This window comes from Homo sapiens, chromosome 7 (genome assembly GCF_000001405.40).
Source record: "Homo sapiens chromosome 7, GRCh38.p14 Primary Assembly".
Taxonomy (NCBI): domain Eukaryota; kingdom Metazoa; phylum Chordata; class Mammalia; order Primates; family Hominidae; genus Homo; species Homo sapiens.
The window spans coordinates 151285497-151312539 of NC_000007.14; the positions used below are offsets into that span (position 1 = coordinate 151285497).

Sequence of the window (27043 nt, forward strand, 5' to 3'; positions counted from 1 at the left end):
CCTAACCTTCACATCTTATACAAAAATTAACTCAAAATGGATCACAGACACAAATGTAGAAGATTAAGCTATAAAACTTGTAGGGCAAGCATGGTGGCTCACGCCTATAATCCCAGCACTTCAGGAGGCTAAGGAGTTTGAGACCAGCCTGGGCAGCAGAGCAAGACCACATCTCTAAGAAAAAATTGGCCAGGGGTCATGGCATGCACCTGTGGTCCTAGCTGCTTGGGAGTCTGAGGTGGAAGGATCCCTTGAGCCCAGGAGTTCAAGGCTGTAGTGAGCTATGATCATGCCACTGCACTTCAGCCTGAGCAACAGAACGAGAGCCTGTTGAAAAAAAAAAAAAAAAAAGAACTAAAACAAAAAACCAACTATGAAACTTTTAGAAAAAATATAAGAGAAAATCTTTGGGATCTTGGGCTAAGGGCCAAGTGAAGAATTCTTAGACTTGACACCAAACGGCCAATCCATAAAAGGAAAAACTGATAAATTGGATTTCATAAAAAAAAACCTGTGTTTTGTGAAGACTTTTGCTCTGTGACAGAGGATGAAAATAAAAATCACAAATAGGAGAAAATATGTATAAGCTACGTATCAACAAATAACTAGTATTTAGACTATAAAGAAATTTTAAATCTCAGAGGTTAGAAAAAAATCAGATAACTCAATTAGAAAATGAGCAAAAAACACATATAGACCTTCACCAAACAGGACCTTCAGATGGCAAATAAGCCTTTGAAAAGATGTTCAACATCAGCAGCTGTTACACTACACACCTCTCAGAATGGCTAAAATAGAAACCAGTAACAACAGCAAACGCTGGCGAGGATGTGGAGAAACTGAATCACTCATACATTGCTGGTGGGAATGCAAATTGGTACAGCACTCTGGAAAACAGTTAGGCAGTTTCTTATAAAACCAAACATGCACTTAACCCAGCAATTGCACTCTTGGGCATTTATCCCAGAAAAAGGAAAACTCATGTTCCCCCAAAAATCTACATACCAATGTTCAGAGCAGCTTTATTCCTAATAGCCAAAATTGGAAACAACTTAAATTCCTTCAACGGGTAAATGGTTAAACAAACTGTTGCACACTCATACCACGGCATACTACTAAGTAATAAAAAGAAAAAAAACACAGCTACACAGGGGAACCTCCAAATCATTTAAAAATTATTTCAATTTTTTGAGTTAACTGAAAGTGTGAAAAAGCCATTTTGAGTGAAAAAAAGCCAATCTCAAAATGTTACATACTCAATCATTCCATTTATATAACACTCTTAAAATGGCAAAATTAGAGAGATGGAGACCGGATTAATGCTTTCCAGGAGTTAAGGAGGGGACAGGGTGTGAGGGAACTGGGTGTGGCTATGAGAGGGCAGTCTAAGGAGCTCTCTTAGACTGGAAACGTCCGGAATCTTCACTCTTGTGCCAGGCTGATAATGGCTCCCAAAAATATGTCCACATCCTAATGCCCAGAACATCTAAATGTTACTTTATCTGGAAAAAAGGTCTTTGCAGATATAATTAACTTGAGGATCTGGAGAGGAGATTATCCTGGATTATCTGGGTGGGCCCTAAATGGCATCACCAGTGTTGTTAGGGATTTCTCTCTCTCTCTCTCTCACACACACACACACACACACACACACACACACACACACACACACTCTGACCCACAGGAAAAGGTGATGGGAAGGCAGAGCACAGAAAGAAGGATTAGATCAGCTGCCAGATGCTAGAAGAGGCAAGGAACGGATTCCATTTGGAGTCTCCAGAGGAAGCACAGCCCTGCCTATACCTTGACTTTGAGCTTCTGATCTCCAGAAGTGTGAGAGCGTAGCTTTATCTTGTTTTCAGCCACCCAGTTTGTGGTGATTTGTTACAGCAGCTACAGGAAACCAACACAACTCTCCTCCTTGTGATACCGTGCTATAGTTTTGCAAGATGTCACCACTGGGGACACTGGACAAAAAATACACATCTCTGCATTATTTCTTACAAATGCATGTCAATCTATAATTATCCCCACATAAGAAGTTTAACTGAAGGATGGGAGCTGGAGGGGAACGAAGTACAACGCCCCTTGATTTTCAGGGCCTGTTAGAGGAACAGCAATGTGGCTGATGGACTGTGAGGTCGGAGAGATAATGGCCTCGATGTGTAGGGGGCAGTGAAGAGGATGGGTTGTACAGGCCTTTCTGTGGGTATTTAAAGACTTTGTCCCGGCCGGGTGCGGTGGCTCACGCCTCTAATCCCAGCACTTTGGGAGGCCGAGGCGGGTGGATCACAAGATCAGGAGATCGAGACCATCCTGGCTAACACGGTGAAACCCCGTCTCTACTAAATATACAAAAAATTAGCCCAGCGTGGTGGCAGGCGCCTGTAGTCCCAGCTGCTGGGGAGGCTGAGGCAGGAGAATGGCATGAACCCGGGAGGTGGAGCTTGCAGTGAGCCGAGATCGCGCCACTGCACTCCAGCCTGGGCGACAGAGCAAGACTCTATCTCAAAAAAAAAAAAAGACTTTGTCCTTCACCCTGAATCAGATGGGAAGCCACTGTAGCATTTTGAGCAAGGATAGACATGATCTGATATTCATGTAAGTGGGCCAGTCTGCTGCCATACTGAGCATAGACTGTGAGGGACACAGTCTATGGCCCTTAACTCAAGGCAGGGAGACCAGTTAGAAGGACAGTGCCATCACTCAGGTAGGAGGCAATGGCTGGTTTGAATAAGATGGACTGGATTCTGAGTATGTTTTGAATAAAAGGTTCGATTCTGAGTATATTTTCAAAGTAGAGCCAGTGGGATTTGCTCTCAGATTGCCCATGGGTATGAAAGAAAGACAGAAGGTAGGATGGCCCTAAAGATGTGGCCTGATCCCAGCTGGAAGCATGGGGCTGCTGTTACTCACATGAGGAAGGTTGGGAGGATAAGTTTGAGATGCTTATTGGACATCCAAAAGAGATGTCAAGCTGGCACTTGGATGTAGGAGGCTGGAGCTTAAGCTGGAAATACACTTTTAGGAGTCAACATTTAGCTGGTAGTTTATACCATGAGACTGGGTGAGCTCACCAAGGGAATGAACATTTAAAGAGAAGAGGCCCAAAGCCTGAGTCCTAGGGCATTCCAACACTAAGAGGTCAGATACAGGGAAAAGCCAGGAAAGGAGGCTGAGAAGGACCCACAAGAAGAATGTGGCATCTTAGAAACCAACTCTAGAGGAAGCGTTCTAGGGAGAAGAGTGATCGACCATGTCACGTGTTGCTGGTGGCCCAGTAAGTTGAAGACTGAGACTTGGCTGTTGCCTGTAGCAATGAGGAGGTCATTTGTTGACCTTGGTGAAAGTTTCGATGGGTCTGTAGGGCAAAGCCAGAAGGGGAGAAGAGGAATTATAGACAGCAACTAGAGAGAGCCCTTTAGGGCAGTTTTATTGTGAAGAGGAGTTGGAGGGAGAAATGGGGTTGCAAAGGTTTCTTTAAAGTGGGGAAATTAACAGCATGTTTGTGAGCTGATGGGAATGAGCCAGTAGAGGGAAACATTGATGATGCTGGGGGAGGGAGAAGACAACAGTTGGGGCAGTTTTCTTGAGTAAGCCTGAGACAAAGCAGGAGTCATTCATCTATAGCAGCAGTTTTCAACTTTGGATGTATGTTAGAATCACCTGGAGAAAAAAATCAAGTTGTAAAAAAAATCGCCATTAGTACACCTCAGACCCATGAAATCAGGGTCTCTGGGGATGACTTTGCAGAGAACGTGGGGAAGGAGTTTTATATGGGCACCAAACAGGCAGGTGTGAGGCATAGTTGTGGGAGCATGTGGAAGTTCTCTTCTGATGGCTATTTCCTCAGTGAAATAGGAAGCAAAATTATCAACTGAGCGTGAGGATAGGGGAGGAGATTTTGGAGGTTTGAGGAGAAGAGCAGGTGTGGAATGGTTATTTAGGTGTGGAAAGGCTGCAGTCATTGGTAATGAAGAGGTCTAGGGTAAGGCTAGGGAGATGAGATGCGAAGGGAGAATAAAGGGCAGGCTCATTGGAGGAGAGGAGGGTAGGAACTGAGAGGCTGGGGTCCTGGAAGGATCCTCTACATGGACATTCAAATTATCAGGAATTGGCCAGGTGTGGTGGCTCATGTCTGTAATCCCAGCACTTTGGGAGGCTGAGGAGGGCAGATCACTTGAGATCAGGAGTTCAAGACCAGCCTGGCTAGCATGATGAAACCCTGTCTCTACTAAAAATACAAAAATTAGCTGGGTGTGGTGGTGTGTGCCTATAATCCCAACTACTCGGGAGGCTGAGGCAGGAGAATCATTTGAACCTGGGAGGCGGAGGTTGCAGTGAGCCAGGATCATGACTCTGCACTCCAGCCTGGGCAACAGAGTGAGACTCTGTCTCAAAAATAAATAAATAAATAAATAAAATAAAATAAAAAAATAAAAAGCCAAATGATCAGGAATTAAGACGGGGGAGGTGGCAGAGAGAGAGATGTAGGAGGGTTCTGCCTGGATCTCAGTCAATGGAAGGTGGAACTGGGGGAGGGGCAGCCTCACATTTGATGCTTCAGCAAAACACAAGTATCTATAGGCCCCAGGTGTTGCGTCAGAATTCTTGTTTCTTGTATTCCATGTCTTCCTCTTTTTTAGTTTAATTCCTTATTGGGGTGATCCTCATAATTGTATTTTATTTGTTATTATTTTGCTAAGACTGGTGTGGTAGTCTCCTTACTGGTATTCCTGCCTCTAGTCTTGCTGCACTTCATGTGGCCTCTGACAAACCTCACTGCTTCTCTACATTTCCTCTAGTGTAACTTCTTGAACTACTAAATTGGCCCTGATCACTTCCTTGCTTAAAATCTTGCCGTGAGCCACCATCCCTAACAATAATCAGCTCACATTTGTCGATCCCTGGCTGTGGCTGTCACTGTGTTGAGTGCTTTATGTGTGTTCTTTACGTTGATCCTCATAGGCACTCCAAAAGGCATGTCTGATGATTGCCCTTATTCCATAGGTGATGACACTGAGGGTAAGGGAGGTTAGGTAACTTGCCCAATGCCTTGTAGCTGACGTTATCACAGCATCCAAAGCTTCTTATAATTGATCACTCTCCCTATACACTTCCTTCCTTTTTTTTCTTTCTTCTTTCTTTCTTTCTTTCTTTCCTTCTTTCTTCCTTTCTTCCTTTCTTCCTTCCTTTCTTTTTTCTTTCTTTCTTTCTTTCTTTCTTTCCTTCTTTCTTCCTTTCTTCTTTTCTTCCTTCCTTTCTTTCTTTCTTTTTTTATGGGGTCTCGCTCTGTCACCCAGGCTGGAGTGCAGTGGCGCAATCTCGGCTCACTGCAAGCTCCACCTCCCGGGTTCACGCCATTCTCCTGCCTCAGCCTCCTGAGTAGCTGGGACTACAGGTGCCCACCACCATGCCTGGCTAATTTTGTTTTTGTATTTTTAGTAGAGATGGGGTTTCACCGTGTTAGCCAGGATGGTCTGGATCTCCTGACCTCGTGATCCACCCACCTCGGCCTCCCAAAATGCTGGGGTTACAGGCGTGAGCCACCGCGCCTGCCCTGTACACTTCATTTCTTACCATTTCTTCCTACCTTGAACTTTGTGCTTTGGCAAAGCTGAATTCTTAAAGGTCCCAGGACCAGTCAGACTCCTGGTAGGAAGGATGTGGCACAGAAAGAGGGTTTAGTTAAAGAGCAGTAATGAAGGGCCCCTTAACAAGAGGTGGGCAGGGCTAAGGGAACCAACGATGATGGTAAAGCACCCAGACCCCAGCACCAAAGGGAGACCAAGGGGCAAGGAGCAGGGCTGTGCTATCAGAACCATGTTGGAGTTGAGACCATGGAAGAGGGTGTGTGTCATAGGAACTACGGGGACATGCAGCCACTGCCAAAATCAGGATAAATCCCATGACTCACCTTTCCTCCACACCTCCAGTCTTCTGCTGGGGCCTGCATTGGCAAATCCAACCAGAAGCCAGAAGATAAGAGAGCTGGGGTAATGCAGTCTGTAGAGGTCAGCTTGCTTGGGCATAAATGAAGCAGGAGAAGGATAGAGAATGGATCAGGAGGGACAAAAAGCATTTCTGTCCCTTGCTTAGAGGAATAAATCCCATGACCCCCACCCAGGGGAAACACAAAGTCCCATCAGCCACTGGATTATTGGTGATTTCAGTTCAATCATACTCCCAATAGGAGCCAAAGCAATAATGTTAGCGACCAGGGCTGCTCTTCATATAAAGTAACAGGAAAAAAAGGGAAGGGAAAAAAAAGCTCTATCTTGCTGGTCATAAGACCTAAGTTGATGTTGATCCTTTTGGCTTCCTTCCTCCACCCACTGGTGGAAGCAGCATCTCTGCTGCTCTGATTTTACCTCCTTGGTTGACCCAAATCTTCATCCCCACAAGATACAAGTTCTTAGTAGCTCTGTCTTTTTTTTTTTTATATGGAGTCTCACTCTGTCGCCTAGGCTGGAGTGCAGTGGTGCGATCTTGGCTCACTGCAAGCTCTGCCTCCTGGGTTCACGCCATTCTCCTGCCTCAGCCTCCTGAGTAGCTGGGACTACAGGCACCCACCACCACGCCTGGCTAATTTTTTGTATTTTTAGTAGAGATGGGGTTTTGCCATGTTAGCCAGGATAGTCTTGATCTCCTGATCTCGTGATCCACCTGCCTCGGCTTCCCAAAGTGCTGGGATTACAGGCGTGAGTCACCGTGCCCGGCCCTTAGCAGCCCTATCTTTATGGGGTTGCCACTGTGGCCACTGACCATCACTATTGGACAGGAACAACTATGAGTCGCCCCAGCAAGTGCTCTGGTCCAGATAGAACTCTCTTTACCCCTATTCCACAGCAGCAGCCAATTCCCCTTGGTAACTGGGTACCTGAGCAGTATGGTGACCCCCTTTGACACCTATGGATTCAGCAGCACGAGAAGCCCAACCTGGCCAGTAGGAGGCTTCAGCTTCCAATGGAGTGAAAACAAGATGTGTTCTCTCTTAAAAGTGGCTGAGGCTGGGCGCGGTGGCTCACGCCTGTAATCCCAGCACTTTGGGAGGCCGAGGTGGGCAGATTACCTGAGATCAGGAGTTCGAGATCAGCCTGGCCAACATGGTGAAACCCCGTCTCTACTAAAAATACAAAAATTAGCCGGGCATGGTGACACACACCTGTAATCCCAGCTACTCGGGAGGCTGAGGCAGGAGAATTGCTTAGGCCGGGAGATGGAGGTTGCAGTGAGCCGAGATCGTGCCACTGCACTCCAGCCTAGCCAACAGAGCGAGACTCTGTCTCAAAAAAAGAAAAAAAAAAGTGATTGAGAGAGAACACTTACCATGGCTCATGCCTGTAATCCCAGCACTTTGGAAGGCCGAGGTGGAAAAATCTCTTGGGGCCAGGAGTTGGACACCAGCCTAGGCAACAGAGTGACACTCTGTCTCTAAGAAAAATTTTTAAAAGTTAGCCAAGCCCAGTGGCACACGCCTGTAGTCCTAGCTACTCAGGAGGCTGAGGTGGGAGGATTCCTTGACCCCAGGAGTTCAAGGTTGTAGTGAGCTATGATTGCACCACCGCACCCCAGTCTGGGAGATAGAGCAAGACTTTGTCTTAAGACATGGTTAAGATGATAAATTTTATGTTATCTGTATTTTACTACAACAAAAAATTTTGAAAAAAAAGGACCCAACTCACACCCATTACATTGGTTAAAATCAAGAAGACTGACCAACCCAAGCACTGGCAGGAAGGCAGAGCAAATACTGAAAAAGGCTTGGCAGCTTCTTGACATGTCTCCCATATGACCCAGCCATTCTACTCCTAAATGATTATTTCCTGCCTTCTCCACTCTCTTCAAATCTCCAGCATCTCCCTCAGAACAAATAAATTGAGTCTCCAGGAATACTCTCTCAAAGAACAGGAACCTATGTATTCTGGCTATAGGGGAAACAGCACCATATTTTGGCCATTGGCTTAAAGTATCTACCACATCGTCTAGGGGAGCACCCCAGCCTCACAGGGTTCTGTCCTCCACTCGGTGCCATAACTGAGCCTTCAGTGGGCCATTTCCCAGATTCACCCACACAGTTGCAACTGAGCGATAGGCACAGCGTAAGACCAGTGGATTCTCTGGGCATAAACTCAGTGCCACAGGTCTTTTGTTATTATGAGTTCCTTGGTTGGAGATGATGTTGTAGGGGTTACCATGACAATAAATAGGGCATTCTGGAAATCTTCAAACAGTGGGACTGGCAGAAGCAGTGCAAGTAGGGAAAGCAAGTCTGTATCTGGAATAGGACTCCACTCTTCTTTTGTTTGTTTGTTTTAATAATAAAATTCTGTTAGTTACTCCAAAGGACTCCATCCTTAAGAGGACAAATTGATAGCCGCCTCATGAAGGAGTGATACAAAGTTAGCATCAACCTATTTCCAGGGGGCTGGCTGGTTCCTGTGGATGGTGCAATGTCAGGGATTCAATGTTGGTTATTTCTAGTATTTAGCAGTTTGGGAACTCAATGGTAATGGCATCCATATGAGCCCCAGTGGCGGGTACCTACTGAGGAAGGATTGGGTAGGGGAAAAACAAGCTGGCTGACATTCACAGGAGGAATTGATCATTTCATCAGCCTGATCATTGAAAGCCTCCTCTGCAGTGGGTGACTCTGATGGGAATGTGCATGATACATGAGTATCTTCATGTGGTGCCCATTCTGGGACCTCTGTCCACATACCTCTTTCCCAGACTTCCTGGTCACCAGTCTTCTGGCTTTGACCAAAGTTCCTGACCAGCCACACAATCTATTACCCATTACCCATTAGTCAATGTAGAGCCATACCCTAAGCCATCTTGCCTCCAAAGCAAAGCAGACAACTAGATTGGCTAAAATTTGTCTACTGGGAGGCTTTCCCTTCACTACTGTCTTCTGGGCCCATTTCTGCATGGAACTTAGTGCAGTGGTCATACACTTCCATCTGATGACCCTTCTGTAAACAATAGATTGATTTTTCTTCATCGTCTATTAAGTAGGCAGAGGGAACTCACTATGAAGCCATAGTTGTGAGTTGAGGGAGAGGTAGCAAAAAAGTAGGAGTGGATACCATTAAAGTTTGAGCTGCTGACCCGGGCAATTATTTGTACCTTCTGGACCTGAGCGAGCTTATTCTTACAGCTGCTATGCAATGCAAGCTGCACACATTCAGCTTTATGACTTGGTGGATTAGGTAAACTCAGCTCATGATGAACAGCGCATGCTGCACCGTTACTTGGTACTCCAAGGACAGGCATTTAGTCCTTACAGGATCTAGATTTAGATTTTCCCACCTATTTATTCTTTCCCAGGATCATTATTCTTCATTGCATTACTGTGCTTCCATCTGGTATCATTTTCCTTCTTCCCAAATAAATTGCTTTATTATTTGCTTTACTGCAGGTCTGCTGGCAAAAATTCTGTTGGCGTGCTTATTAAAAAAAAGACAACTTTATTTTGCCTTTATTTTTGAAGGTAATATATCTTTTTCTTTTTTCCTTTGGCTGTTTTTTTAAGATTTACTCTTTGACTCTGGCTTTTTGCAGTTTTACTACAGTGGAACCAAGCATGGTTTTCTTTGTATTTATCCTGCTTACAGGTCATATGGAACTTCTTAAATCTGTGACTGAAATCTTTCATCATTTTTTGAACACTCTTGACCACTATCCCCTCCTATGTTATTTCTGCTTCAATGTCTCTCCTGTCTTTCTGGGGCACCAGAATCATGTATATTAGGCTGTTTCACTGGGTCTCATGTGTCTGTTATACCATTTTCTATATCTTATTTTTTTCTCCCTTGCCTATGTCCTTCAATATGAATATTTTCTACTGAGCTAACTTTTAGTTAACAAAGCCTCTTATCTGCAGTTCTCGTCTGCTGTTGAATTCATCTACTAGAGTCTTGAATTTAGCTATTTTATTGTTCAGTTTATGTTTTTTATTCTCTTTTTTTAGATTTGAGGTTTCTAACAATACTCCCCACCTTTTCCTTCCTATTTTCTTGAAAATATTATTTTTAAATATTCTTTAATAATTATTTATCTTCTCGAACGTATGCATTAGTTCATTCTTACATTGCTACAAAGAAATACTTGGCCAGGCATGATGGCTCACGTCTGTAATCCTAGCACTTTGGGAGGCTGAGGCAGGCGGATCACCTGAGGTCAGGAGTTTGAGACCAGCCTGGCCAATGTGGTGAAACCCCATTTCTACTAAAAATACAAAAATTAGCCGGGTGTGGTGGCACATGCCTGTAATCTCGGCTACTTGGGAGGCTGAGGTGAGAGAATCGCTTGAACCTGGGAGACGGAGGTTGCAGTGAGCCCAGATTGTGCCACTGGACTCTAGGCTGGATGACAGAGCGAGACTCTGTCTCAAACAAAACAAAACAAAACAAAACAAAACAAAACAAAACAAAAAAACTTGAGACTGGGTAACTTATAAAGAAAAGAGGCTTAATTGGCTCATGGTTCTGCAGGCTGTACAGGAAGCATGGCTGGAGAGGCCTCAGGAAACACAATCATGGTGGAAAGTGAGGGGAACCTGGCATGTCTTCACAAGGCCAGGGCAGGAGGAAGGGAGGGAGCGGGAAGGTGCTACACACTTTTAAACAACCAGACCTCAAGATAACTCACTCTCACTGTGACAACACCAAGGGGGATGGTGTTAAACCACAAGAAACCATCCCCACGATCCAATCACCTCCCACCAGGTCCCACCTCCAACCTTGGGGATTACAATTTGACATAAGATTTGGCTGGGGACACAGATCCAAACCATGTCAACATATTTATTTAAAAATCTACATCTAATAACTCCAATATCTAGATCACCTGTGAACCTGTTTCCCTTTTCTATTCTCCCCTTGGTTCTCTCTCATTTGGTCTTGTTTTTGGTATGCCTAGTAATTTTTTTACAGCTTTACTGAGGTATGATTGATATGTAATAAACTTCACACATTTAAAATATACAATTTGATAAATTTTGGCATACGTATTTATTGTGAAACCATCACCACAATCAAGATAATGAATGTATCCATTACCCCCAGAAGTTTCCTTGTGTCCCTTGGTAATCCATTGCTTTCTATGTCCTCCCCCACCATCCCCAGGCAACCACTGAACTATCAGTATAGACTCATTTGCATTTTCTAGAATTTTATATAAATCAAATCACACTGTATGTGTTTTTGGTATGGCTTCTTTCACTCAGAATAATTATTTTGAGACTTATTGTGTAATTGTATATATCAATAGCTTATTCTTTTTTATTGCTGAATAGTATTCCATTGTGTGGATATACCACAATTTGTCTATTCATTTACCTTCTGATGAACTTGTGGATTGTTTCCACTTTGGGGCTATTAAAAAAACAAAATGCTGCAACATTCTTGTACAAATCTTTTTGTGAAACTATGTTGTTGTTGTTTTAGACAGTGTCTCGTTTTGTTACTCAGGCTGGAGTGTAGTGGCCTAATTATAGCTCACTGCAGCCTCAACCTCCTGTGCTCAAGCAATCCTCCTGCCTCAGCCTCCCAAGTAGCTAGGACTACAGGTGCAACACAAAGGCCTGGCTAATTTTTACATTTTTTTTTTTGGGGGGTAGAGACAGGGTCTTGTGTTGTCCAGGCTGGTCTTGAACTCCTGACCTCAAACAGCCCTCCCACCTCAGCCTCCCAAAGTGCTGGGATTACAAGCATGAGCCACCATGCCTGTTTTCATTTCATATGTTTTCATTCCTCTTGGATAAATACCTAGATGAGGAATAACTGGGTCATATTGTAGGTGTATGTTTTATCTTTTAACAAGCTGCTAAGCTGTCTTGCAATGTGATTATACCACCACCAGTGTATGAGAGTTCCATTTGCTCTACATTTGCAGTCAGTCTTTTTAATATTAGCTACTTCAGTGGGTGTGTAGTGATATCTCATTTAAATTTCATTTTTGGCAAGGCATGGTGGCTCACACCTGTAATCCCAGCACTTTGGGAGGCCAAGGCAGGTGGATTGCCTGAGTCCAGGAGTTTGAGAACAGCCTGGGTAACATGGTGAAACCCCATTTCTATAAAATACACAAAAAATAGCCAGGCATGGTGGCACAGGCCTGTAGTCCCAGCTACTTGGGAGGCTGAGGCAGGAGGATCGTTTGAGCCTGGGATGTGGAGGTTGCAGTGAGCTGAGAGGGCGCCATTGCACTCCAGCCTTGGGAGCAGAGCAAGACTCTGTCTCAAAACTAAATAAGTAAATAAATAAGTTTTATTGTTCTTAGTGACTAATGATTTTGAGCATCTTTTCATGTGTTTATTTGCCATCTATATATCTTCTTTGGTGAAGTGTTCAGATCTTTTGCTAATTTTTTTCAAGGATGTGTCTCGATGGTAATTTTGATTGAATTCGAGACATTGCATGTGAAAAAGAGGCTCTGGGTGATATGTATTCCTACTTTATATTGGCAGGCAGATGGAAGACGGGCAAATCACTTTGGTGCAGCTAAGGGTGGGCTGCTGGCTTTGCTCAGGCTGGCCTTCCTGGCTTCTCTATTTGCCTACAGCATAACCCTTCAGTATCTTTAGGTGAAAGGTTGTATTTCATGTTCTTTCTGTTCTGGAAGACACTGAACCCCATATTCTGTCTCCTCTCTATCTTGATACCACTGAATGACTGTGTTTCAGCCTCTAACCAGATGCTTGCTGTTTGATTTCTTGCCCCTTGTTCTGGAAGGCCAAGGAGACTGAAGAGCCATCATGGGTGTGGCCACAGCCAGAGCCCTCTCAGCTCCAGGATCTTGAGGATAGCACAACCCAGTGAGATTCATGGCGGCTCCTGGTGAATCTGTATAATCCTCCAGGTCTAAGGTCCCAGGAGCCTCAGAAGCACCCGTGGAGGTGGGATGGATCCTGCCAGATGATTTCCAGTCCAAGCAGGTAGCGAGAGGTGTGAAGTGAGTCCTGTTCCTATCTGGGATCTTCGTGTTCTTCCAAAAGTAAGACTCCAACCGGGGAGGCACCAAAAGCAGCAGGGAAGGGGAAGAGGTATGCTGATGGAAGAATGGTGACTGAGGGACATCACCCCCCACCCCTACCCCTGCAGTCTAGAATGATCCTTTCATAAGCAGGATGAGCGGAACTTCAGGATTCTGGTGTCACTTACAGCGCTGCCTTAGTGAGCCTTGCTCAGGGTCACTCGCCCCTAGTACCTCCTGTGGGAAGGTGACCTTCCACTCCTGGGGGAGCAGGCAGAGCAGGAAGTCTTGAGGAAAAGACAGGAACGGGAGCATTTCCTTTGGGTTGTTAGTAACCCTGGAATAGCCCCTATGTCTTTTGTTGTTTAATATTTTTAACTTTTTCTTGTGAAAAAATTAAATAAATACACAAGCTGACTGGGTAGTCTAATGAGCCCCCATGTACCCATCACCCAGCTTCAACAAGATACAGCCAGTTTCGTTTCATCTATGCTCCTACCCACTTCCCCCTTCTTGTATTACCTTAAAGAAACTCCTAGACGTCATATTATTTCATTTGTAAGTACGTCAGTGTGCATCTCTAAACAGTAAGACTTCTTTTTATATATATGTAAATATATATAAAGCCATAATACATAATATATCAATATTCGATATTATTATCATATTAATAGCTAATACATTATGGTTTTCTATACATACAACCATAATATCAATATATGTAACCTATATATAACCATAAAACCATCATCGCACCTAAAAAATTAAAAATACCTTATTCATTTCATCAAATATCCAGGAAGTGTTTAAGTTTCCAGTTGTCTTCTAAACTTCTAAACTATCTTTTAAACTATAGCTTGCTTATTTGAATCAAGATTCAAATAAGATTTACACATTGAGATAATTTGATCCATCTTTTAAGCCCCTTTTACCCTGTTTCTTGCATCTGTGTGAGCATGCATGTGTGCTTGTGGGTGTGCATGTATGTGTGTGTGTGTGCACATGAGCATTTGCATGAGTATGTGTATGTGCATGCATGAATGCGTGTGTCATGTGCATGCGTGAATGTGTGTGCATGTGAGTGTGTGTGCATGCGTGAATGTGTGTGCATGTGAGTGTGTGCGTGTGTGCATGTGTGTGTGCATATGCATGCATGAATGTGCGTGTGCATGTGTGCAAGTGCATGTGTGAATGTGTGTGTGCATGTGTGCCTGTGCATGTGTGAATGTGTGTGCATGCATGAATGTGTGTGCGTGTGTGCATATGCACACAAGAATGTGTGTGTGCATGTGTGCATGTCCATGCTGAATGTGTGTGCACATGTGCATGTGTGAATGTATGTGTGCTTGTGTGTGCATGTGCATGTGAATGTGTGTGTGCATGTGCATGTATGAATGTGTGTGCTCGTGGGTGCATGTGCATGTGTCAATGTGTGAGTGTGTCTGCATATGCATGCATGAATGTGTGTGTGCATGTGAGTGTGTGTGTGCGTGTGTGAGTGTGTGTGCATATGCATGCATGAATGTGCGTGTGCATGTGTGCATATGCATGTGTGGATGTGTGAGTGTATGTGCACATGTGTGCATGTGCATGTGTGAATGTGTGTGCATGGGTGAGGAAGCAGGCCATTTGTCCTTCAGGGTTTCCCATGGCCTGGACCTCGCTGGCTGCACCTCTGTGGGGGGCTCCTGTGCTTTTCCACCAGGAGGGGCACCCTGTGGGGTTGTCTCTCCCTGTGATATTAACTGCAACAGATGGTCAACAATAGATTCATTAATTCAGCATTTGGTCCTACACTAGTGGGCCTGAAAAGCTTCCTCTTGGAGATGCAGGAGAAGGACAAGGCAGGCTCCTGTGTCCTCTTACTTCTCTCTCCCAAAACTCCGCTTCTCCAGACCTGCCCCAAGGGGTGCAATCAGAATGGTTCTCTTCTGCCCCAGCCCTCAGGGCCCCGCTTTTGGTGGGTCCTGGTGCCCCACCCTGTAGAGGCTAGATCCCTGCGGAATGAAGAATGAGGAAATTGATGAGACAGCAGCTGCCATCTCTGCAGTCCTCCTTCCAGGTAACAGCCCAGGTGCTGGGTCAGGCCAGGAGGGGAAATGCCTTAAGGCAGCGAAGCTTTCTCAGCATCCTCAACTCAGGTGGCCTGACTGCTTGGTGACAGGAGTTGAGGATGGAACAAACCATCCTGATGGTGGCCCCTGAATAAAGACTTCTGGGCCACAAGGGAACAAGGATGTGTTGAGTGACAGCATGGTTCCTCAGGCAGACCCGGGTCCAGACACCAACTGCACCACCTAATCGGCTGTGTGCCATTGAGGACATTACTCCTGTCCCTGTCATAGGCTGATAATGCCCCCCAGAGACACCAGGTCCCCATTGCTGGTACCTGTCAACCTTACCTTATTGGAAAAGGGTCTTTGCAGATGTGATTAAGTTAAAGCTTTTGACATGGGGACTGTCCCAGATGGTCCAGGTGGGCCCTAAATGTGGTGGGAAATGTCCTCATAAGAAAGGTAGAGGGACATTTTACACAAGGAGAAGACCACGCGAAGACGGAGTGGAAGAAGATTGAAAGACGCTGGCCATGCAGATTGGAGTGATGCAGCAACAAGCCAAGGTAAGCTGGCAGCCACAGGAGCTGGAAGAAGCAAGACTCCACTCTAGAGCCCCTGGATCCCTGATTTCAGAGTTCTCCAGAACTGGGAGAGAATACATTTCTGCTGTTCTAAGCCACCAAGCTTGTGGTAATGTGTTACAACAGCCACGGGAAACTAACTCATGCTGTATGCCTCAGTTTCCTCCTCTGCAGAATGTACAGTGGGCCCCTATGGTGGGGGAGAAAACCTAGTGGGAGGCTAGGAGGTGGTAGCTAGCAGGAACCCAGCCCTCCAAACTTGCCCACCTCCTCTCTTCACCCTCACAGTTGCAAGGTTTGTCCCAGTGGCCTTTGGTACAATGTGACCCACCTTCCTGGCCATGGTTGATGGTCCGAGGAGGTAAGCCAGAGTTCATCTGATTGACTCGGTGTCTCCCCAAGTGGCCAGGCCTGCAGCAAGCCTCCTCAGCCTTCCAAAGACACCCTGTTTTATGCCATGTGGGCCAGAGGCGTGGAGAAACCAGCAAAGGGAGAGAGGGGGAGAGGACACTGAAAGAAGGGCCAGGGAACAGGCAGTGTGCCCTTCCCCTGAGATGTGGCCTGGGGGTGCTGGGAGAGGTCCCATGGTTCCCCAGGCAGGTGCTGGGCGAGTTAGGTGAGCCTGCCTCAGGCCCTGCAACACGTCTCACTTGGAACCCCTGTCCAAGGCCATGGTCTACACCTGCACTGCCTGTCATCACAGCGAGGCCCCTTTCCTCTTTGGAGTATGTCTTCTCTGTGAGGGGAGATTGGTGCCCGTTGGATTGCTGCAGCATCCCTAGCACCTCGCACACAGTAGGTGCACAATACGTATTTGCCAAGAGGATAAATGAGTGAACAGAAAGATCTGGAGTGAAAATGGACAGTCTGAGGAGAGCGTCTGGCAGAAGCTTGTTTGACAAGAACATCACTTAGGGAGGCATTGGGTTCAGCGTTCAAGATTGTCATGTCACCTTGAATCCTCAGACCTGCCCTTGGTGCCACTGTACTGGTTCCAAGATCTGCGTCCAAGAAAGGTGAGGTCCTCTGCCCAAGACTGGCTGGCTTTTAACACACAGCTGGTCCTCAGCCTCAGCCTGTGACCCCACCTGCCTTGGAGCTCAGCGGAGTCTTCTGATGGAGATGGGAGACAAATACAGCGAGAGTGGTCCGGAACGTGGGCACCTCTCTACTCATGCTCATGGCTACCTTGTCTGTTTCCTTGGATGGACTGGCTCGGAAACACAGGTGGCATGAGAGAGGCGGCAGGACTGGAGGAGCCACGCTGCCTGGGGCCCTCCCCTGTGGCCGGTCCAGGGAGGAATAGCTCCAGGAGGGAGCCTCGTGGTGGCAGCTGAGGGCCAAATGAGCAGGTCAGTTCTTCGAGCACGTGTGACTATTGGAACAGAGCAACGACCTAAGGTTTAAGCCTTAAAAAGGGCATTGAAGTTAAGGGACTAGACACAGCAGCCCAAGAAGGGACCTGTTATCCACGGCACCACTCACCGTCCGGCTGACCGAGTAATGTTTGGAGACAAGAGAGGTCCCCAAGTGGGGAGGGTGTGGGTGGGACCAGGGCTCCCCAGCCTGTCCCTGCCCTCTCCATCCGACCTGGCTCTTCCCAAACCCCTGTTCCCCCAAATATGCCATCCTGATGCCCGCATGTGATACGCCGGCTCTCCATCTGCCTCTGGAGCAGTACTGGAGCAGAGCTCAGGGGGAGTCTGTCCTGTTCCTCTGCACACAGCACCCCAAGACTTTGCAGGGAAAACTTGTCACAAGGCTCAGATTCCCGTCCCCTCTCGGGCTCAGATTCCTGATCCAGGAACCCGCATTTGTTAAACGTGTGTGGTCACGACATAGGGACTATAATTTTTTTTCTTTTTTCTTTCTTTCTTTTTTTTTTTTTTTTTTTTGAGACGGGGTCTCCCTCTGTCGCCCAGCCTGGAGTGCAATGATGTGATCTCCGCTCAGAACAACCTCCGCCTCCGGGGCTCAGGTGATTCTCCTGCCTCAGCCTCCCGAGTAGCTGGGATTACAGGCTCCCGCCACCACGCCCGGCTAATTTTTGTGTTTTTGGTAGAGACACGGTTTATTCATATTGGCCAGGCTTGTCTCGAACTCCTGACCTCAGGTGATCCACACGGCTCGGCCCCTCAAAGTGCTGGGATTACAGGCGTGAGCCGCTGCGCCCGGCCGGGACTATACTTTTTTTAGAGTCCTTATTTTATAGAGTTCGGAACTGAGATATTTTCAGATGCAATGATGGATCGTCTGGGATTTGCTTTTAGAGAGAAACAGGCGGCGGGGCTCCGCTGGAGGTGTAAGAGAACCTGGACTGGCTTCTTCGTTACATCCGGTCTGCTTTTGAATGTATTTGAATTCTTTTGGAAACCATTTCCCGCCCCTCGGAGACTCTGAGGGAGGGGCGGGAGACCCAGGACCCTGGCCGGGTTGGGTTTGGCGTTGGCTGGCGGGCACCGGGGCTGGCAGGCGCAGGGGCTGCGGCTGGGCGGGCTCTGGCGCCACCTGGCGGCCGTCGCGGGACCGACGCCCCTTGGAGCGCCCCCGGGCCCGCGGAATCAGCCGCTGAGCAGCAGCCGGGAAGGGGCGAGGGAGCCCCACTCCATGCCAGGCACTGGCTCACGCCTGCTGCCCTGACCCTGGAGGCCCCTTCAGCGCAGCACCCCAGCCAACTGCGCTCTCCCAGGGTCCACCTCGGATTCTCACCCCCTACTCCCGTCAGAGGCCACTTGGCCCCGACAGTCCTCTGTGTGGATGACAGGTCACGACTTGACGATGGCGGGGTCCTCCTGCTGGGTGGGAGTGGGCGCGCCTGCGCGTACGGCACGGCCAAGCAACTCGCTAGGGCCCTGCTTTTTGTAATTTCAACCAAGTTACACCGTTTCAACAAGAGCTTTGTGTAGTAAGTTTCTTTCTTTCTTTCTTTCTATCTTTTTTTTTTTGAGGCAGAGTCTCGCTCTGTCGCCCAGGCTGGAGTGCAGTGGCGCGATCTCGGCTCACTGCAACCTCCAGCTCCTGGGTTCAAATGATTCTCCTGCCTCAGCCTCCCGAGTAGCTGGGATTACAGGCGCGCACCACCACGCCCAACTAATTTTTGTATTTTTAGTAGAGACGGGGTTTCGCCATATTGGCCAGGCTGGCCTCAAACTCCTGACCTCAGGTGATCTGCCCGCCTCAGCTTCCCAAAGTGCTGGGATTACAGGCGTGAGCCACTGCACCCGCCTTTTTTTTTTTTTTTTATATGAAGGACACCCGGCAGTGGCTCTCAGTGGGTCCCGGTGCTGGCGGGAGCGTGGGGGGAGCAGGCTCTGTCTGCGTGCGTCTTTTAGGGGTCCTAGGGCTGACTCCACCTGAGAACCCCGTCCGGGGCTGTGTTAAGCACCTTTTGTAGAACTGTATTTTTATTAAAACATCAAGGCCGGGCGCAGTGGCTCATGCCTGTAATCTCACCACTTTGGGAGGCCAAGGCGGGCGGATCACGAGGTTAGGAGATCGAGACTATCCTGGCTAACACGGTAAAACCCGTCTCTACTAAAAATACGAAAAATTAGCCCGGCTTGGTGGCAAGTGCCTGTAGTTCCAGCTACTCGGGAGGCTGAAGCAGGAGAATGGCGTGAACCCAGGAGGCGGAGCTTGCAGTGAGCTGAGATCGCGCCACTGCACTCCAGCCCGGGCGACAGACAGAGCGAGACTCCGTCTCAAAAAAAAAAAAAAAAAAAAATCAAATCCGTGTTCCTGTAAAACAAACAAACAAACAAACAAAAAGTTACACAGTTTAGAATCACGCTGTTACAGGAGATGTCTGAAAAAAAGCAGTTCCCACCTCCCACTTCCTGTCCTCCACAGCGGGGCTCTTAGCTCTTCCAGCTGATTCTCTTCTGTTTTGCCTCCATGTCTCTAAACAACAGATTTCCATCGTTAGCGTTTCCTACTGGCTACGGAAGAGGAGGACTTAACTCCTCCTCACACCCACCCCACCCCTCCTACCTCCTCATCCGCCACTGAATTCTTACCTTGGGTCAGATGGATGTTGATGGGTTAGGTAACTACTGTTCACAAATGAGCGGTGGACTATATATTAGGACTATTTTTCCTTTCTGCCACCTTTTTCTTTTCTCTGGATTTACTGATTGTCTTGAACTTCCTTTCACTTAGTTCTCCAGATGTTTATGGCTATTTTATCACCAAATTCTTCCCCAGCTGTGTAACTCTCCTTTTGATAAATTCCTGTCCGATAGTCTGTTCATTTCAGTGTTTTGAAGAACTCTTTCCCGGGGCTTCTGCCCTGCAGCCCAGAGAGGCCCTTGCCTCCCTCTTGGTTGGCCGACCCTGGTTCCTGGATCGTTTTTCTTGTTTCTTCCTTTATTCTCCCATTTTAATTGAGTACGTCCTTCCATAGCTTCCTGAAAAAAGATGCTTGAGAGGTAAAGTTTTGAGAGCTTGTATATCTGACCCTGTTTTTATTTTACCGTAACACTTGCTTGGTAGCTTAGCTGGGTATGTAATTGTTATCCGGGTATCAGTTTCCCTCAGTTTTGGTTTTTGATTTTAGAGACAAGATCTCACTCTGTTGCCCAGGATGGAGTGCAGTGTTGCTCACAGCTTTGCAATCTTGAACTCCTGGGCTCAAGCAGTCCTCCCACCTCAGCCTCCCAAGAAGCTGGGACCACAGGTGTGCACCAGCACACCTGGCTAATTTTCTAAACTTTTTTTTTTTTTTTTTTTTTTTTTGAGATTGGGTGCCTTACTTTGCTTCCCAAGCCAGTCTTGAACTCCTGGCTTCAAGTGATCCTCCCACCTTGGCCTCCCAAAGTGTTGGGATTACAGGCATGAGCCACTTCACCCAGCCCCCTCAGAGTGTTGAAGGCATGGCTACCTTCTAGTGTTGTAGATGAGAAGTCTGAGGCCACTCTTATCCTTCAGCCTTCCTATTACATCTATCTATATGTAGGATTGGAAGCTTGTAGAGTCTTCTCTGTGCCCTCAATATCCCCAGAGTTCATGACAGTGTGCTTTGAATGGGCCTAATTTTACATTGTACAGAGTATTTGGGGCATTCTTTCAATATGTATTTCATAACTTTCAACTCTGAGAATTCAGGAGAGAAATTAGAAGTAGAAGATAAATCCAGGATGTCCAAGTTGGAGTTTTGGGAAAACGAGTATATAATAGGAAGGAAGTTATTTGTAAACATACATGAAAATTTCCCAGAACTGAATATCCTGTCTGCAGATTGAAAACTCTGGTAGCATTTAACACGGTGAGTGAAATGACACCCACAGCAAGGCACGTGGTGGTGGCATTTTGTGGTTTGTATGTTTGAAGCTGTGTTTAAATATCACATAGAATATGATTTGAACTTCAATATACAGTCCAGGCAATAAGTATTGTGGCTGAGATGGAGGAGAAGTTGATACTGTTTGGCTGCATCAAGATACATTCAGGAGTGCTGGGCGCAGTGGCTCACACCTATAATCCCGACACTTGAGGAGGTCAAGGCAGGCGGATCCCTTGAGCCCAGGAGTTCGAGACAAGCCTGGGCATCATGGTGAAATCTTGTCTCTACAAAAAAAAAAAAAAAATTAGTGTGCATCTGCCATTCCAGCTACTCGGGAGGCTGAGGTGGGAAGATCACTTGAGCCCGGGAGGTGGAGGTTGCAGTGAGCTGAGATCACACCACTGCACTACAGCAGCCCGGGTGATAGAACAAGACCCTGCCAAAAAAATATAAAAAATGTATCCAGGAAGGCTTCATGGAGATGAAACTTCATCTGGTTTGTAAAAGATGGACAGACAGCAGGGCTGGAATCTCTCAGGGGCAGGAAACACTGAGCTTGTAATGACCCCCGAGGTGTGTGGGTGACTGTGCCCTGGGTCAGGTGATGGGGCTGGCCCAATACTCAAGATAAGGGCTGACGTACAGAAGGTATCCCTATTGTGAAGGCTGGTTGAGCCACCCTCTGCTCCTAATCTGAGACATCCCATGGAGAAAACAATGGCCTCACTGTATTCACCTAAGCCCAATCACAGCCAAGAGGCTTGAGCAGCTGAGGCCCACCAGGTAAAGATCGAAAGACCAATAAGCAGGTAAAGGTAGGGACACATCCTGCTTCCTCCAGGGAACTGAAGGGTGGAGGGTCCTGCTGTATAGGTCCCCTTGTGGGGATTCACCAAGCCCTCCCTGTGTTCCCCATAGAGTCGGAATCATGGCACCAGAAGGGACCTTAGAGCCACCCAACTTCTGAGCAAAGGCCAGAGGGAGGTGGGATTGGCCCAAGGTCCCGCTGCTCATTGGTGACAGGGCTGGGTTTAGAACCCATGTTTCTAGACCCTCACTCCCTTTGTCCTCATGGGGAGGGGCAGCCTTTCAGGAATAAACACTCAAAGACATTCATCTGCAGGTCATCTGCACTCAGCTCGGGGGCATCGCAGGGCGTCCGGTTGTGGGAAAGGGGACAGTGGGCCAGAGGGGAGGGGTTGCCATTTGCAGTTTGACTCAGGATCTGCATTTTGAGCTCCTGTTGAAGATGGAATTGCTCAGGGTCATTACGCATGCTCTCCAAATGTTCACATCTCCCTGTTCTGTATTTTCTGGGTCAGGGTCCTCAGGACTGTCCCCTGCCTGAGGGCCCTGAGCAGCCCTGGGGGCAGACGCCTCCCAGAGAGACACAGAGCCAGGTTCTGTTCAGAAACGCCTTGGGCTTCCAGTTTTGCATAAAGTTTGCTGGTAAGTGAGGCTGGCAGCACTTCTGAGGCTGGAGTCAGCTCCGTGGAGGCAGGGCCCTCATCTTATTCATCCCACCTCCCCTCAGAGGCTGGCACAGTGCTTAATACACAGAATGGGCCAAATACCCTTGTGGAGAGTAGCCGGCTCTTATGGGTTAAGTTGTGTCCCCCAAAAGATGCCAAAGTCTTAACCCCCCATATCTGTGAGTGTGACCTTATTTGGAAACAGGATCTGTGTAGATGATTAAGATAAGTTGTGCTAATCCAATATGGCTGTGCCCTTTTAAAGAAGGGAAATTTGGACACAGAGACAGACAGGCACACAGGGAGAACGCCATGCCATGTGCAGATTGAGTGAGTGAAGCCTCTGGAAGCTGGGAGGGAGGCCTGGGACCGAGCCTTCCCTAGTGCCCTCAGAGGGGGACTAGCCCTGCCGACACTATGGTCTCCAACTTCTGGCCTCCAGAACCAGGAGACCATACATCTCTTTTGTTCAAGCCAGTAGGAAGCCCCAGGAAACCAATGTATGGCCCAAAACACTGCCTGGTTTCCGCCTCCTGCTTGCCAGGCTGGTCTGTCTGTCTCCCGGCCTGCTGTGGATGTTTGCAGCCCAGCTGCCAGGGAGCAACATCAGTGAGACTGGGGTCATGGGTCCTGTGCCCCATGGACTGCATGTGGGACCCAAGCACTCAGCAGCCTCCCCAACCCATGTGCCTCAGCAAGGGGAACAGCTGGTGGAAGAGAGCGCCCTGGCCAGGGTCGCGGAGGACTGGGCCTCTATCTAGTTCCATTATGAGGCAGGGGTCCCTCCATCCTGCTTTGGCTCTGTGACCCAGTCTCTGACCACTTTCTTATTTAAGGAAAGACAAATAATTCTTGTGCTCCACAAGTCCTTGCCAATTTAATGTCATTTTCATTTGCAGCCTTTTAGGCTATTTAATTTGTAAATTTCCCTCAATAATTCCAGCAACATTATTTTCAGAGCCCTGATTGCAGCATTTACATTTTTTAGTATTCCATGAACCGCACTCTGAGATGTGTGGCTGCAGCCATCATCAGGGTACAGCCAGAAAGCACCCCAAGGGTGGGCGCCCTCCCATCCTGCCTGCAGGCGGTGGCTTGCTGGCATCTGTGGGAACTGCCCGTGTCCATGTGCTGAGAGGAATGACCTGCAGGAATGGGTCCCTCTGCACCCGCTTCCAGGACTGCCCGCCAGCGTGCAATTCCCCATCTGCTGCTAAGACCTTCCTGGATCAATATCCCTCATCTGGGTCATCCAGGGAAGCTTTTGCACGTGGTTTCACACTTCTCAATTCCAAGCCCTGAGGGGCTGGTTATTCTCCTTTCTCCCCACCCCACCCTACCCCAGGTTCATTCCCAGCGCTCTGGTCTGCTCTGTGTCTCAGGGCTGGCCCAGCGGGTGCTCAGGGTGAAAGGAGAGGGGCCGTGTCTCCGAAGCTCCCTCCCACCTCCTTGCCAATCGTGGGCAGCAGCCACGTTCCTCAGGCCACTGTCCCTGTTTTGTGATCTAGCCTCAGCAGCCACCTCCTTTATTGTTCGAGGGGGCTGGAACTGGCCCTGCAGCAGCCTCTGGAAACCTCAAAGCTACATCATAACCAAGCAAGTCTGTGGAGTCCCCACCTCCTTTGGCCACTAGCATCTGGCCTGTGGTCTGGGAGGGTGCAACTCACAGATGGAGCTTTGACATGTGTGGGTCCTGCCACAGCCAGGGAGGCTAAAAGAGTGAGTGTCTGGCATTTCCTGCTTGTACAGTGGGAGGTGATTTATGCCTGGTAAGAGGGTTTCCCTAGATCCATGAAGACTGAAGATATGTGATGATAGATGAAGAACTTCCGGTGTTGGAAGCCTTAGTGAGTGCCAAGGAAGTTCCGTGTAGCCCAGAAAAACTGAAAAACCATCATAAGTTCTGACTTGTCTGTAGCAGACCGTGTTGGAAGTGCCAACTGCATATCCCTTCAGCAGAGTAGACAGGGCACATCTTTTCTTTTTTTATTATTTTGAGGCAGGGTCTCACTCTGTCACCCAGGCTGGAGTGCAGTGGCATGATCATATCTCACTGCAACCTCGACTTCCCGGACTCAAGTGATCCTCCCACCTCAGCCTCCCTAGTAGCTGGGACTACAGGCATGCACCACCATGTCTGGCTAATTTAATTTATTTATTTATTTATTTATTTATTTATTTATTTATTTATTTATTTTGTAGAGACAGAGTCTCACTATATTGCCCAGGCTTCTTTTTTGATGGGAATGGTATATTTGATAAAACTTGAATACCACCTTTTAGCTACAATGTTAAAAAATTGTTTTGCAACATTGTAATAAAACCAGTGAGAAACTGTAGACTCTAGATTTGGTTGTACAAGATACCTTCTTTTGTCATCAATTTGAAATTAATGAAATCTGGAACAAAAGTAATAAAGATGACAGATAAAATTGATAGAGGTTATTTGGACATTGAGAAGCAAATTGTAACAAAACCCTTTCCAATCACATAAAAAGCAGCAATTGATTCAGGAGAAATGATACATTTTGAATAGAAACAATGAATAAGCTTTTGGGTTCTTTGATAAACCAATGAGTGAATCCTAAGAACATACAGGAAAAGGATGGAACTTCTTTACAATTTGACATGAAATGCTGACATTGAGGCAACAGTGTTTGTAGAGCACCATGTCACAGAGGACACCCTGCCATGCATTCAAAGGGTTTTTAAGAGTAGCCACTAAGCACAAAACCCATGAAATGCCCTGGAATCTTAAAACTCATATATGAAACTTGACAGGTATTTTCCCAGATTTGAAAATAATATTTCAGATATACAATCATTATGACCAACAGAGGGCAGTAAAGCTGTACTAGCCAGGTTCCAATCAGGAGACAGAAACCACACGATAATTTGTACAAGGAATGTTTCCCATAGATAATTAACTTTAGGCCAGGCACAGTGGCTCACGCTTGTAATCCCAGCACTCCACCCAGCCGAGCCTGGTGGATCACTTGAGGTCAGGAGTTCGAGACCAGCCTGGCTAACCCATCTCTACTAAAAATACAAAAAGTAGCCAGGCATGGTGGTGCATGCCTGTAGTCCCAGCTACCTGGGAGGCTGGGACATGGTAATCGCTTGAACCCGGGAGGCGGAGGTTGCAGTGAGCCGAGATCGTGCCACTGCATTTCAGCCTGGGCAACAGAATGAAATTCAGTCAAAAAAAAAAAAAAAGAAAAAAGAAAAAAGAATTGACTTTAACAGGGGATTGGAGTAATAAGGCCTGGCTAGAAAGAAGTTAAGAGAACTCTTGAAAAATGCAGGAATGGCAGATAGAGGCACAACCATCACTCTTAGGGCTGAGATAAAGCACCCCAGAAGAAGGTCCCTGCCACGGCTGAGATCCAGACCTGATGGGAGAGATCGTGGCAGAGAAGTCACTGAGGTGCCAGGTTGGCAGAAGCAGCTGGAAATCTGCTCTCTGGGGTATCAGAGGAATCACCCACAGTGACACGTCATGTCTCAGAACAGTCTGCAAAGCCACAGGAGAAAATGCAGGGGGAAGCAATTCCCAGGACAGTGCCCTAGTGGCCACAAACTCCTGCAAAGCTGCCCAGGGGGCTTCCAGAGAAAGCTACTGGTGCCTGGGAATTGGAGTTGGTGCTGCAGAAGCCACACATGCTGCTGGAGCTGCCAGACACTGCAGAAGCCGGGTGCCTTGCAGGAGCAGGTGTAGAGAAACCTCATGGGCAGCAGGAGCCTCCCAAGAGGAGTGCACCAGACAGTGAAGAGAAACCCCTTTCTCCTCCCGTGTCTCTTCAGCGCCCTCTACTGACAAAGCTTGACATGCAGCTGCAGGCAAAGGGCAACTAATTACAAGGCTCAGCTCAATTCTAGGAGGTCAGGCAATGAGGGACGTATTAGGAGCTGAGATACAATAAGTTGACAACTGGCACAGAAGCTAAAAGAAACTTTTCTAAATTAATAAATCGCTAAATTTTAACCCACCATGCTAGAGCAAAGATCGTCTTTCTAATTTCTCTGATAAGATTGTTGTCATTTAAAGAGTCAATTAAAGAGCCTATAGCCAAAAAATGAAAAAAAATTATAGATATGTGTCAGACAGTTAATTAATAAAAATATTTTATTTTTCTGGATTTTGTAATGTTTGTGGTATTTTTTACTTTTTAAAATTTATAACTTTTTTCTCATTCTTAGTAATATTTATTTTCATTCCTAATATTGTATTTGTGGCCCAGTCTTGGCTCACTGCAACCTCCGCTTCCTGGGTTCAAGTGATTCTCCTGCCTCGGCCTCCCAAAGTGCTGGGATTACAGGTGTGAGCCACTGCACCCGGCCAGTATTGTGTATTTAAACATAATGAAACATGGAAAAGGTACAGTAAATGTACGGTATAATCGTATGGGTCCCATCATCTTATGGGACCACCGTCATGTATGCCGTCTGTCATTGGCCAGTATCATTATGCAGCACATGACTGTGTATTTGGGAGTGGAATATGCCAGCATTCCATTTAGGGGGGTTCAAGACGTTCGTTGTGGCATGACTTGGAGGGCATCTCCTGCTTCCTCTATTAGATGATAACCTCCTTGAAGGGCAGAGCTAGAATTAACGCTGGGGCGGGGGGGCTCAGAGGCATCATCTAGTCCAATCCCCTTGTGTAGGTGGGGA

General features: G+C 47.1%; 2 annotated features.

The window, feature by feature from the left end:
• Positions 17838-18696: an enhancer, noted in NCBI's record as "H3K4me1 hESC enhancer chr7:151000420-151001278 (GRCh37/hg19 assembly coordinates)". NCBI's record gives its function as "activates a minimal SCP1, AML or CMV promoter by ChIP-STARR-seq in naive H9 embryonic stem cells {active_cell/tissue: H9 hESC(naive)}" and the evidence as "EXISTENCE:reporter gene assay evidence [ECO:0000049][PMID:30033119]".
• Positions 18038-18207: a silencer, noted in NCBI's record as "silent region_18810". NCBI's record gives its function as "represses an Ori minimal core promoter by ATAC-STARR-seq in GM12878 lymphoblastoid cells {active_cell/tissue: GM12878}" and the evidence as "EXISTENCE:reporter gene assay evidence [ECO:0000049][PMID:35858748]".